Genomic DNA, 13,887 nt, shown 5'->3' on the forward strand with positions numbered 1-13,887 from the left:
ACATAGTGCATAAAAATTATACATATTCCCTCAGAGTCCATAATCCCGAACTGATATGGCATAATGCAAAACACACTTCCCCAAAAGTAGTGCTTAAAGTCACGGTGTACAAATTGAATTTTAAATAAATTTCCTGAAACATCATCAGTGGTTCTGGCCACATTAGCAATACACATTTGCTAAAAATAAAGTGCAGAATGGCTGTGCCCAGCCCAACCCCAAAGGGATGGGACCAGTGGGCATTTATTTGCCCTCAAGTGGTTTCAGAGTTGGGCTGGCTGCACATGTGTTCAGGTGCAGTTGTTACAACAGCCCAATAGCTTCCCCTCAAGGGTTTCCCCTAATTATCAGTGATCATCAGGTTCCAAAAGTCAGCTTGTCTTCACCTCATTCTCTATCAAAGAGGGAGATGTTAATTGCATTATCGCCTTGCCAACACCCTCTGAAATGATGGCAGTGATCATTAACAGCCTACCACGGAGCCAATCAGAGTCAATCCAAATTCAGAACCAGCCAATGGAGTGCTTCCTAATCCCACGTGTGTGTAAACACTGAAAACATAAAAACACAAGGCAGCCATTGTGGAGAATGGGGTGCTGGGGGTGCTGAAGACCAGATCCGCCATCAACTCCATAAAATATTTCACTGGTTAATACAAACACACACAGACACGCATACACATACACACACACACATGCACATGCACACAACGCAGTGAAAAGCTAGAAGATCCCCACAAGCCTTATGATTTTTTCCCCCAGCCCTCTGCATCCCAGACCAAGCTAATTGACCAGCAAAGAAATTCAAAGTAATGCCCAGTTGTCTGGTTTTATTTAATGAAGAACCTCTCCAAGAATGCTGTCAGCATGTCACCTTTCACAGATAAATAAATATTTGTGGTTCCTTGCATGTTAGTTTCAGTAGACACCAAGACCAAAAATAATTTGCCCTTGTTCACTTGACTTCCTTTCTTAAATGTACAAAGTAAGGCTGTGGTTTTCCTAAGTGTGTTCTCGTTCATGGCTCACCTAAGAAGATGCCCTTTGGACTGACCTAGAATCCAACTATCAAAATCCTGCTCAAAACTACTCAAGCCCTGGTTCAAACCCCAACCCCCCATATCTCCTTTTTCAACCCCATCCAAAGAGGGATGAGTCATTGAATAGTTGATATCTTTCTGCTGTTAAGAGCGCTTTCAAAAACTTAATCCTCAAGGGAAAAGTGGGCAAATAAACAACGCACAAGAGAAGAAATATACACACACAAGAGACGTATGGAAATGTATTCAACCGCCACCATAAAAGAAATTCCAATTTTAAAAATTTTGATCTATCAAACAAACAACTTGGCAGAGACTACCTCTTATTTGGAAATCTAGGCTGTCACTCTCCCACAAAGCTCACAGAGCCAAACTTACCAGGGGGACAAATATTTCAAAATAAAGGGGACTCACTACATAGGATTTTCTCTTCTAGGACTTCACCTTAAAGAAATATCCAGAGGGCACCAAGTGATCAATGGTTAAAAAAAAAAAAAAAAATTGGCCACAACTTCACTAGTAATGTGAAAAAATCAGAAGCAACTCAATGTTTGCCAAAAAGGAAATGGTCAAACAATATGATGCATCTGTCAGAAGACAAAACTGCAACTGACCCTTGAACAACATGGGTTTGAATTTCTTGGGTCCACTTACATTCAGATTTTCTTCCACCTCGCCATCCAAGACAGCAAGACCAACCCCTCCTCTTCCTCCTCTTCCTCAGCCTACTCAATGGGAAGATGATGAGGATGAAAACCTTTGTGATAATCCATTTCCACTTAGTGAACAGCAAATGCATTTTCTTTTCCTTATGACTTTTTTAATAACATTTTTGCTCTAGCTCACTTTATTGTAAGCATACAGTATGTAAAACATGTAACATTAAAAATATGTATTAAGTGATTGTTTCTGTTATTGGAAGGAGTCCAGTCAGCAGTAGGTACTAGTAGCTAAGTTTTAGGGAAGTCAAAATTATATGTAGAGTTTCAAAGGCACGATGGGTGGGTGGAGAAGAATGGGCATCCCTAACCCCCAGGGTATTCAAGAGACAACAGCACAACAAATGAGTTTAAAGTGCTCAATTGGCTTTATTTGCAATTCTAGAACCAGGCAACACTTTATTCCAAAACACAGAATGAGTAATCCAGTGAGCCCCGCAGAATTTGCTTTATTGACAGAGAAGGCTGAAGAAAGCAGAAACAAAGAACAAAGGGAGGATTCGTTACTTTTAGACAGAACAATAGAAAAATAACTGATTAGTTAATATCAGGTTACTCCAGGCTTCCTTTTTTGTGTGAGGATTAAAGCAGAGGGAACTTCATTATCATGCGGATTGAGGACTGAAACAGACCTGTTTGGGAAAGTGGCTGTTATCTCTCTCCGGATTTCTGAGAAGGTCAGATAACAACTGAGTTTAGTTTTGGTGACGGGGAACTGAAACAGATCCAACACTTCCTTAGACAGTGCTTTCGGATAAACATAGATACTAACTCTTCTGCTCTTAAAGCTTATTTATTTTTTGTTTTGTTTTGTTTTTAAAATTTTATCTTACTTTATGTTCTAGGATACATGTGCAGAAAGTGTGGGTTTGTTACATGATTAAATATGTGCCATGGTGGTTTGCAGCACCTATCAACCTGTCATCTAGGTATTAAACCCCACGTGCATTAGATATTTGTCCTGATGCTCTCCCTCCCCTCGCCCCGGCAACAGGCCCTGGTGTGTGTTGTTCCCCTCCCTATGTCCATATTTTCTCATTGTTCAACTCCCTCTTATAGGTGAGAACATGCGGTGTTTGGTTTTCTGTTCCTGTGTTAGTTTGCTGAGAGTGGTGATTTCCAGCTTCATCCATGTCCCTGCAAAGGACATGTTCTCATTCCTTTTTATGGCTGCATAGTATTCCATGGTGTATATGTACCACATTTTCTTTATCCAGTCTATCATTGATGGGCATTTGGGTTGGTTCCATGTCTTTGCTATTGTGAATAGCGCTGCAATGAACATATGTGTGCCTGTATCTTTGTAAAATAATGATTTATATTCCTCTGGGTTTCTACCTAGTCATGGGATTTCTGGGTCAAATGGTATTTCTGGTCATTTGTTTAATCTGAATTCCTTCCTCAGGAAAACACTCCCAGACCCCACAAAAAGTATGAAAGAACTGAAACTCACCAGATCACCACATCCAGACAAGGAGATGCCAGACCCCTCACTCATCATGATTGCCTCCTCACCATTCCCCAGTTCCTATTTTCCAACACTTGTTACATTTCTTCCCTGCTGCATAAGCCTCTAATTTTAGACAGCCAGGGAGAGGAATTTGAGACTGACCTCCCATCTCCATGGCTGCAACACCCGATTAAAGCCTTCTCCCTTGGCAATAATTGTTTTCTCAGTAATTGGCTTTCTATGTGGTGAGAAGCAGGGCCTAGACAGAACCCCTGGTGTTTTGGTAACAGCATGTTAGAATGAGGAACTCCATTTTGATTTTTAGTCTGGTCTGTTGAAGCCTAGTGCAGAAGCTTAGTCGAAAACAATAGCCTCCTATAACTTTTATTTAACACATCTATAAAATGCAACTCTGTGAATTCTTAAAATCGAACCAAAAAAAGTCTGAAAACCATCAAGGACATAGAAAATGTTTACAATATGTTAAGGGGGAGGAAAAAAAAGGGCAGGATATAAAAACTATATGTATAGTTGAATCCCAATTTTGAAAAAATAGTAAGACATCTAAATGCCCACAGGCCTGTAAAGAAATGCATAAAAAATTTAACAAGGTTTATCTCTGGATAGCGGGATTACAGGCAGTTTTTATTTTCTGCTTGAAACTTCCCTGTATTTCTGAATGTTCAAAAATAAATTTGTATTACTCCTATATTCAAAAAGCAATGTTTTGCTTTTGTTCTTTACAGGCTCTGAACCCCCACAGCTCTTGCTGTCAGAATGACTTACCGCAAACTGCACACGACTCCCCAGCTCTGCAAGAACTCGTTCTGGCTTCTGCTCCTGGCTCAGCCTCCTGAAGCCCAGGAATCAAGGCTTCTCCTCCCTTGCTCCTCACCCAAGGTCTATGGGCTTAGCTCTTCTTCTTGTTCTTTAGATTTAAGGGGTACATGTGCAGATTTGTTACAGGGATATATTGTGTGACGCTGAGGATTGGGGTACAAGTGATTCTGTCACCAAGGTAGTGAGCATAGCACTGAATAGGTATTTTTTCAGCCTTTACTCCCTCCCTCCCCTCTAGTAATCCTCAGTTGTCTGCTTTCCATCTTTGTGTCCATGAGTACCCAATGTTCGGCTCCCACTTATGAGTGAGAACATATGACATTTGCTTTTCTGTTTCTGTGTTAATTTACCTAGAATAATGGCCTCCACCTGCATCCATGTTGCTGCAAAGGACAGGATTTCATTCTTTTTTGTGACTGTGTAGTATTTCATGGTGTAAATGTGCCACATTTTCTTCATCCAATCCACTGTGGATGAGCACCTGGGATGGTTCCATGTCACTGCTATTGTGAATAGCACTGCAGTGAACATACATGAGCAGGTTCCTCTTTTGAATTCAGTTCCTTATTTTTGATGTTTGCCCTCAATTGCCCACACTCTGACCACTTAGCTCATACCAACAAGCCCCAGACAAGGTGTCTTGTTTCTGAGGAATTAGAGGGCAGGAATAGGGAAAGGAAGAAAGAGGAAGTAAAAGGTGTAAGAAATTCTCCTTGCTCATGATAGAAAGCTGTAGACCCAGCTTGGGCATGCGTTTCATTCACAGGGATTTCTTTTTAGGGGGTTATATATCCAGCTTTATTTTTTATTATAATCTTTTTTATTTGTATGAATGGATAGGGTGCGAGTACAATCATGTTACATGCATAGATTGTGCAGTGGTGAAGTCAGGGCTTTAGAGCATCCATCCTCTAAATAACATGCATAGTACCCAATGAGTAATTTCTCATTATCCACCTCCCGTCCACCCCACCCCCTTCTGAGTCTCCATCGTCTACCATTCCACGCTCTACATCCACGTGTACACATTATTTAGCTCCCACATATCAGTGAGAACACGCAATATCTGTTTTTCTGTTTCTGGCCTGTTTCACTTAAGGTGACGACCTCCAGTTCCATCCATATTGCTGCAAAAGACATGATTTTTTTATGGCTTAATAGTATTCCATTGTGTATATGTACCATATTTTTTCCACCCATTTGTTGATGAACACTTAGGTTAAGCAGTACTACAATAAACATACAAATGCAGGTATCTTTTTTGTATAATGATTTCATTTTACAGAAATTTCTTGATAATTAGTTGTCATAAGAGTGAGGGATGGGGTGATACTGTGGCCTGCAGTTCCATCTGTGAGCCTCTGCCTTGGGTGGCCTGAAAAAGATGAGGATTTTCAGGCCAGGTGTGGTGGCTCACAACTGTAATCCCAGCACTTTGGGAGGCCAGGGCAGGTGGATTACCTGAGGTCGGGAGTTCAAGACCATCCTGGCCAACATGGTGAAACCTCATCTCTACTAAAAATACAAAAATTAGCCAGGTGTGGTGGCAGGCACCGTAAACCCAGCTACTTGGGAAGTCAAGGCGGGAGAATCACTTGAATCCAGGAGGTGGAGGTTGCAATGAGATGAGATCACGCCACTGCACTCCAGCCTAGGAGACAGAGTGAGACTCTGTCAAAAAAAAATAATAAAATAAGAAGGAGGAGGAAGAGGAGGAGGAGGAGAAGGAGGAGAAGAAGAAGACAGGGATTTTCTTCTTTCCATTGGGACCTCAGCTCCCAGGTGGGCTGATGATCACATCACCAAACCAAACGTAATTCCAGCAATGGACAGAGATACAGAATTCTGTTCCGATACTACAGTAAAATGAGCTATGTTGGACTTAGGGTCATCGTCTCATACAATACTTTCCCAACAGGCTGGCAAGGGAACAGTGGCTTTTTCCTGGTTTTACTTTGCACACTACCTTGGATCCTACCCCTGAGTACCCTATGAATGTGCCATTTTGTTTGGTCCTGAAGTGTGTACTTTCCCCATCCTGTCAGTTTCCTGGGAAGACTGTCAGTGCCCCTGATGCCCTGCGCCTCCCTCACAATTTTCCTGCCATTCTCCCACCCTGGCCAGCAGTGGGAGCATGCCCCAAGCAGCAGGGGGGTCGTCCCACCATCATAGCTATTGCCGGCCTGAGATGATAGATGCCACTGTGGAAGGGACAGAAGAGCTTCCATCTAACCGCTCCTACTGACCTCACCATCAGTGATGCAGATGTACTTGTCACATCATAAACACTTGGCACCCATTGGCTCTTCCCCAAATGGCTATCAGAATTGCAGTTTCAGCCACCAGCAGCTCTCCGATGGGCACAGGCTCCACTTATGGCTGGTTTGGAATGGCAAATCCATCACTCTCTTTGCCTGTAAAATGCCAAGGAGACTGATCTAAGCAGGGGGTTCCCATCCATGGCCTGCTCTAGGCCTGAAGGAACACAGATGGCATTTGCAGGAAGATGACATCTCACCATCCCCATCTGAGCAAAGCCTGCCCATCAAACAACCAAAGGATAGCCAGTCCCCTGCACAGTGTAAAGTGACTTGCAGTGATCCTCTTCCCCAAGGCCAGCCCCAGCTCTCAGACCTCCAGTCCCAACAAGTCTTTTTTTGCAAAGGAGGCTCACCCTGGAACATGGCTCTCCCAAGGGGAGACAGGAACGGATGTTGACTTCATCCCAGCAGCTTCTGACACAATGCCACTATCTTTCAACTTTCTCCACCAACAGGGTCAGGCTGTTGATTGGCCTCGACTGCAGTTAGCCTGACACGGCTAGCAGCCTCAAAACAAATTAAACGAGGCAGGGATGCCGTGCAGTGATCGTTCCATTATGTCCCCTCTGCTTCCACACGTGACTCACACTATCACTTTTAGAAGGTGAAGCATCTTATTGAATCAACACCTAATCTGCACACAGTGTCACGGAGGAGGGGCGAGGGGACAGCGGGAGCATTTTCTCTGATCCTTTTCTTTCCTGAAGACTTCGCTGGAGACAGGCTGGGTGGGGGCGAAGATGAATTGTGAGGAACCCTGACCCTATTTCAGGTAAGCTTCTGATTTACTGTTCATTGTGCTTTCTAACGAATAATTTTTATATAATAATGCCACCAGTAAGCACCAAACCCTTCTTCTTGGGAATGCAATTAAGGGAAAAAATAGCAATAAATTGTTTTCAGTACTTAACCCAGCTCCAAATTTATGGCTGCTGAAATTTATTGTTTCAGGGGCCTGAAAAAATGGCGATTAATTTTATTCCATTTCCTGCCATTCACCCTCAAAACTGAAATATAAATAAGGAGCTGTTCTCGGCCTCGGGTTTTCCTGCCTGTTAGAACCCTCAAAACTACAGCTCTCCAGACAGCTACCTCTGAAGGCTCCTGAAGCTTAGAAACAGAGAGGAAAACACCCCTTTATCTGCACGTGTCTCCACCACTGCAATTGCTGGAAGCTCCACGAGTGCCCTCGGTGCACAGATGTGCTTTACAACAGAGTGACTGTAAATGAGAAAACACTAAGTTAGGCTCTGACGGCCAATGCTGGATGTATCCGTTTGCCCTATAAATAAGCACTGATCACCTCCATTTTATTGAACTCATTTTCTAGGCAAGCAAAGACCACAAGATTCTTCTGCACATTTTCTCTTTACACCCTCTAGTACTGCTGCTACTGTCAGCTCCGACAGATTTATAGCCCATTCATTCATGGGAACAAAAACCCTGCCACGGCTGGTCATGGGACACGCAATAGCAGTTAGTTCAAAAGATAACAGCTGCAATACCTCACCTCTCCATTCAGCACTACAGAGCCAGCACTACTTCGGAGGTAATAAATGCTTCTTGTTAGTGTGCTTTGAGTCATAATCCTGGAATAACTGTGGTCGGCCTTACCCCGGGCCCCGCCCCTAGGGAAACCGCTTTCTGCCACTCCCCAACACCCACCCCGCACCTTCACTCCAGCCCCTTTCTGCCAGAAAAGAGGGGAGTGGGGGGTTGAAGGCAGCCCACTGCGTAACCAAAAAGTGGACCCTGTCTCCTTTTTCCAGTCCACCCAACACAAGCTGGGTTGCTGAACCTTTGCAACTCAAGCACTTAGGCAACGCTGAAAAGCCGAGCTTCCTCGTGGTAAGTGGCAATGTGGGTATATACATTCTCCTTGCAAACTGATCAGAAACAGAGCTCGGGCATGAGTCCTGTCCCGACAAGAAGAGGCAGCTGGTCTGACTAGTCCACCACCATCCTCAGAGCCTGGACACACACAACAAGCATGTATTAAAAGAATCCATGGATTTTTTTTTTAAGTAGTGAATGACCTGGGGAGGAATAGAGGATCGGTTCCACCCCGCTCACTCAGAGCAGGAAAAGGTTTAATGCAAGAAGCAATATAGTGGTGAAGCGTTCTGCCTCATTTTGAAGTCGGCCTTTCCCACCCACAGGCCTCAGTTTACTCATCTTAAAATGGGGATGTTAACTGTACCGATTCTACCAACAAATCAGGGATTTGTTGCTAGAATTAAACATAAAAAGTAAATACCTTTAAAAATTTATCACAATGCTAACCAAGTAGTATGCGTTATCAAATAAATTAATTAGTTTAGTTGGAGAAATCAGATATGCACACAAGAAACTTAAAGGAAGATCACTAGAAGACAAGGTCATTGACGATCAAACTTTAGGGAAATGTCTTCCATTTTTGAAACCCTCCAACAAGACACATACACCTGCCCCCACCTCTACCTCCACCAGCGCTCTGTGGCCTATATTTTGCAGAGATGTGTTATTGTCACTGTTAGTCTGATGTCCCGACAATTAAACTGCAAAGAGAAAAAGGCCAGTCATGCAGAAATCCAACAGCCTGGCCTCTGGGATCCGCCCACCCTAGCAATGGGTCCAGGTGGGAGATGGGTCATGGAGATATGGCTGGCCCAGGTCAGGCAGTTGAAATGGAAGTTGAGAGCCTCCAGGCTCCAGAAGGCACCAGAGAGAGAAGCAAAGTCAAACTCCCCATGAAGACACACAGTTCAGTGGGGAAAGAGTAGACTGTGAAACGCATAGAAAAAGACACTGGGCATTAGTTGCTATCAGTACATTCCTCCCTAATCAATCAGCTTTATTGTGACGCCTCTAGCTCGGCTCATAAGGCCTCAGCTCATAAGGCCGGAAAGCCGCTTCGGCAGCAGTTTAAAATGTTTCCAGTTTAATAATCCCTGCTAATTGAAAGCAGCTCAGAAAAGCGGGGAAGATGGGGGTTGGAAGCAAACCAGCACCGTTTATGGCAACAGTGCTGTTCCTAGGGGAAACAAAATAACCTTTGATGCTGCAGGGGGAACCTGCCTCCCCGTCCCCAAACAAACTAATTCCCACAACTGTCTTCTTTGGCACGAGAGCTGTTTCTTCTTACGTTTTAATTGTATAATGTTATAGCAGCCGAATTGCTGTGAAATCTGTTTTTAATCTGTGGCCCCCTGCTGCAAAAACTGGATTATTTTTTCTTCAACAGAGAATTACATTCATTTTTATAATTGTTCTTTCCTTTCAAATCACCTAATATGACAAATGCTGGACAACCTTACAGCTCATCTGCTGAAGAGTGTCTTTATGAGTTGAGGCTTCAATGCTTTCATGGAGAAATTGCCTGATTTAAGTAAATCATGTCACTTTCACCCTTGCAATCGTATTTGTTTCAGACGTCTGCTGACCTAACCTGCAGAGCAAAAACAAAACACGTTTACATTTCTAGGCTGAGATATTTAGTTCAAACGATGTACAAATAGGTCATAATGAAAAGTAATTTTAGTACACGGCAAAGGTATCATTTAAGTATACTTTTGACAGTTTTTACACATACATAATTATTCCAGTATTGTAATTTAAATGGATAAAAGACAGATCTTAGCACAAAAGCCTCCATCCTGGTTTCTCGGAATTCCCTGGCAGAGCTACAGTTGGGGACATGGATATAGAAGAAGGATGTCATGTGTCTGATGTACCATGAATCAGCTGGGCTCAACCTTCACCCTTTGGATCCATGCAAACCTACCCTAGAAGGTGGATCCAGACACCTAGATCTTTTTTTTTTTTTTTTGGTATTTTCTTTTTATTTTTGTGAATACACAGCAGGTGTATATGTTTATGGGGTATATGAGATATTTTGGTATAGGCATGTAATGCATAATAATCACATAATGGAAAACCCATCCCCTCAAGTATTTATCCTTTGTGTTACAAGCAATCCAATTATACGCTTTTAGTTATTTTTAAATGTACAATTAAATTATTATTGATAGGTCGGACAAACACAGCCTGGGTGACCTGGTCCTGCTGTGTCCCCACCCAAATCTCATCTTGAATTGTAGTTCCCATAATTCCCACATGTTATGGGAGGGACCCACTGGGAGATAATTGAATCATGGAGGGGTTCCCTTTTAGTGTTCTCATGGTAGTGAATAAGTCTCACAAGATCTGATGGTTGTATGAGGGGAAACCCCTTTCGTTTGGCTCTCATTCTCTTCTCTCTTGTCTGCTGCCATGTAAGATGTGCCTTTCACCTTCCACCATGATTGTGAAGTCTCCCCAGCCATGTGGAACTGTGAGTCCATTAAACCTTTTTTTCCTTATAAATTGCGCAGTCTCGGGTACGTCTTTACGAGCAGTGTGAAAACAGACTAATACACCAAGCATCCACCTGCGGCCACAAGAGGATGGCTTTGTATTGAGAGACATGATATGTAAGTAGCAACAGAAGTGTAAATCTGAGTATTCCTCCTCCCCTCCAGAAAGACTTGAAACATGGAACTGGAGGGCACTGAGTTTTTTAGGGTGATTGCCAGATGTGTTGATTAGTGAATTAAACAAGGCTGCATTCACAGGAAGGCAATGTCCGACACTGAGAGGTGCCCCCCCGTCTGGGCTGGAGTAGTTCCTTTTGCAGGGAAACAAACCAGCTGAAGTATGCCTGGGAAGGAGGAAACAGGACAGTTTTCCAAGTGTCATAGCTGAACAACAGGGGAAGAAACTGGAGAAGAGAGAACTCTAGGAAATAGGCTTTCTGTCTACAAATCCCCCTGGTTAACCATTCCAGAGCCCTTGCTGCCTACTGGAACTGAGATGAGAGCTTTGCACAAGATCTTCCTCATGCCTCACTGCATTGTCAGTTGAAGATAAGCAGGACCATGGTCCTCGGGTGACAGATGAGAAACTGAGACTTTGGGAGGGCCAATGACTCACCCAGGATCATCTGCTATGACATGATGGAGCAAGAGTTCATACCCAGCATCTTGTTTTGATTCTCCAATCTCACCTAAGGTCAGGAGTTCAAGACCATCCTGGCCAACAAGGTGAAACCCCACCTCTACTAAAAATACAAAAATCAGCTGGATGTGATGGCTCATGCCTGTAATCCTGGCTACTCAGGAGGCGGAGGCAGGAGAATCACTTAAACCCAGGTGGTGGAGGTTGCAGTGAGCCAAGATCACACCACTGCATTCCAGCCTAGATGACAGTGACTCCGTCTCAAAAAAAAAACAAAAGAAAATTACTCAGGAGACACAGCCAGTGAGAACAAAACGGGAATTATTTTTAAAATTTAATAGAGCCAGGATCTTGCTATGCTGCCCAGGCTGGTCTCGAACTCCCACGCTCATGCAATCCACCTACCTCAGCCTCCCAAAGTGCTGGGATTACAGATATGAGCCACCACGACAGGCCAAAATCAGAATTTTTATACCAGATAATTTGACTCCATAACTTGTGGTGCCAGCCACTGTGCTGTGCTGCTGCTTCTGTGTGTATATTTATGAACCAGTTTGTCTTGAGGAATTAAGAACCCAGGTGTGCCATTCATTGTGCGTAGCAAGAAGCTTGATGCTGTTTTATCACTGAATCATCCCAACAATCCAATGAAGTTGAAATGTTTGTCCCACATATCAGAGGGGATATTGAAGCACAGAAACTTGACCAGACCCTACTGCTAATAAACTCAGAACCGGGATCTGCCTGAGTCCCTCTGTTCTCCTGAGGATGAAGATCTGCTGTCTAAGGATGTTCACCAAGGCAGGTCTTAGGCTTAGAAGGCGACCCAGCCCCATCTGGAGCCTCCTTCCCAGCCAAGTCTGGCCTGCAGTCATTTGTCTCCATCAGGCACAGCCATTGTTCTCCAAACTTCCTGGATCCCTCTTCCTGAAACAAAAACCTTCAGTTCCAAGGAAGCCCTCACTTTGGAGAGAACAGGAAGGCACAGTTTCATCTTTGGCACTTCTCAGGCAATACTTCCTCACTGTCCAAGGGCAAAAATAAGGTGGATATAGCCCAAAAAAGGGACATAGTGCTCTGAGAATTTAGCTTGGCTTGGAGAAGCCTGGGAATATGTATGCATACACACATACACATGCACACACACACACAAATACACACAAATGCACACACACACACAGAGTTTCCTATGTTCCAAAACAAACCAAACTTTATGCTTTCACCTGGTACCCTGCAGCCCTGGAGTTTTCTCACTTTCAACCTCAGACCCAAAGAGGAACAAAGAGAAAGGGAAAGAAAATGCCTTTGGGTTGAGTCCATTTGACCCTGATCCATCCAGAGGAGGTAATGAGGGCATGACAAGTTAGTGGCCAGACAGGGACAATGATGGCACCTAATTCTCTACATAGAGCCACCCTCTATTCAGGGAACTCTCTGCTAGTCCTTTTTTTTGTTTTTTAGACAGTCTCGCTCTGTTGCCCAGGCTGGAGTGCAGTGACGCTATCTCAGCTCACTGCAACCTCTGCCTCCTGGGTTGAAGCAATTCTCCTGCCACAGCCTGGGGACTACAGGCACCCGCCACCATGCCTGGCTAATTTTTTTTTTAGTAGAGATGAGGTTTCACCATGTTGACCAAGCTGGTCTCGAACTCCTGACCTCAGGTGGTCCACTTGCCTTGGCCTCCCAAAATGTTGGGATTACAGGCATGAGCCACCATGCCTGGCCTCTGTACAAGTTTTGAAGCTTAGTTTCTCTGTTATACACTATCAAAACACTGGGAGCACACACACATTCTAGAAGGTTGATATCATTAAATACCTCTCTTCTTCTGTCATGGTGGCAAAAAGAGAAGGAAGACATGCTTCCCTTTTACTTGGGGCTGCCATAACAAACAAGAAACAGGTGCTCTTCAACACAGGGGAAATTCCCTGCTTGAGGAGCCTCTGGTTGTGGGTCACAGAAGCTAAATTTGGGGCCAGGTATGGTGAAGCATTCCTGTAGTCCCGGCTACTTGTGAGGCTGAGGAAGGAGGATCACTTGAGGCAAGAATTTGAGGCTGCAGTAAGCAGTTATCCAGCCTGAGGGACAGAGCAAGACTGTCTCAAAAAAATAAAATGGAGTGTTACAAAATAAGTAAATAAAAATTAGTTTTAGGCTGGGCATGGTGGCTCACATCTGTAATCTCAGCACTTTGGGAAGCCAAGGTGGGCAGATCACTTGAAGTCAGGAGTTCTAGACCAGCCTGGCCAAAATGATGAAACCCCATCTCTACCAAAAAAATACAAAAATTAGCCAGGTGTGGTGATGCACCCCTGTAGTCCCAGGTACTCAGGAGGCTGAGGCAGGAGAATCTCTTGAACCCGGGAGGCAGAGGTTGCAGTGAGCCAAGATTGCACCACTGCACTCCAGCCTGGGTGACAGAGTGAGACCCTGTATAAAAAAAAAGAAAAAATATTTAAGAGTTTTAATAAAATAAGTTAACTTGGCAAAGGAAAGCAACTGCCAATCTACACTTTTCCCTACCCTCTTTGACTGGGCCTGAAA

At 43.9% G+C, this 13,887-nt stretch overlaps 1 long non-coding RNA gene across 1 annotated transcript, besides 2 other annotated features; it reads right to left on the reverse strand.

The window, feature by feature from the left end:
- Nucleotides 1,775–2,595: an enhancer, noted in NCBI's record as "OCT4-NANOG hESC enhancer chr19:32589463-32590283 (GRCh37/hg19 assembly coordinates)". NCBI's record gives its function as "activates a minimal SCP1, AML or CMV promoter by ChIP-STARR-seq in primed H9 embryonic stem cells {active_cell/tissue: H9 hESC(primed)}" and the evidence as "EXISTENCE:reporter gene assay evidence [ECO:0000049][PMID:30033119]".
- Nucleotides 5,306–9,134, reverse strand: LINC01782 (long intergenic non-protein coding RNA 1782). Its single transcript, NR_110694.1, has 4 exons — nucleotides 6,723–9,134; nucleotides 6,295–6,462; nucleotides 5,510–5,719; nucleotides 5,306–5,423 (listed from the first exon to the last, which is right to left on the reverse strand). It is a non-coding gene; the product is annotated as a long intergenic non-protein coding RNA 1782 (long non-coding RNA).
- Nucleotides 6,910–8,109: an enhancer, noted in NCBI's record as "CDK7 strongly-dependent group 2 enhancer chr19:32594598-32595797 (GRCh37/hg19 assembly coordinates)". NCBI's record gives its function as "activates an origin of replication core promoter dependent on BRD2, BRD4, P300/CBP, MED14 and CDK7 cofactors, with strong dependence on CDK7, by STARR-seq in HCT116 cells {active_cell/tissue: HCT116}" and the evidence as "EXISTENCE:reporter gene assay evidence [ECO:0000049][PMID:35650434]".
- Nucleotides 9,135–13,887: the final 4,753 nt, after the last annotated feature.

The sequence above is a fragment of the Homo sapiens genome, chromosome 19, assembly GCF_000001405.40.
Source record: "Homo sapiens chromosome 19, GRCh38.p14 Primary Assembly".
NCBI classification, from domain to species: Eukaryota; Metazoa; Chordata; class Mammalia; order Primates; family Hominidae; genus Homo; species Homo sapiens.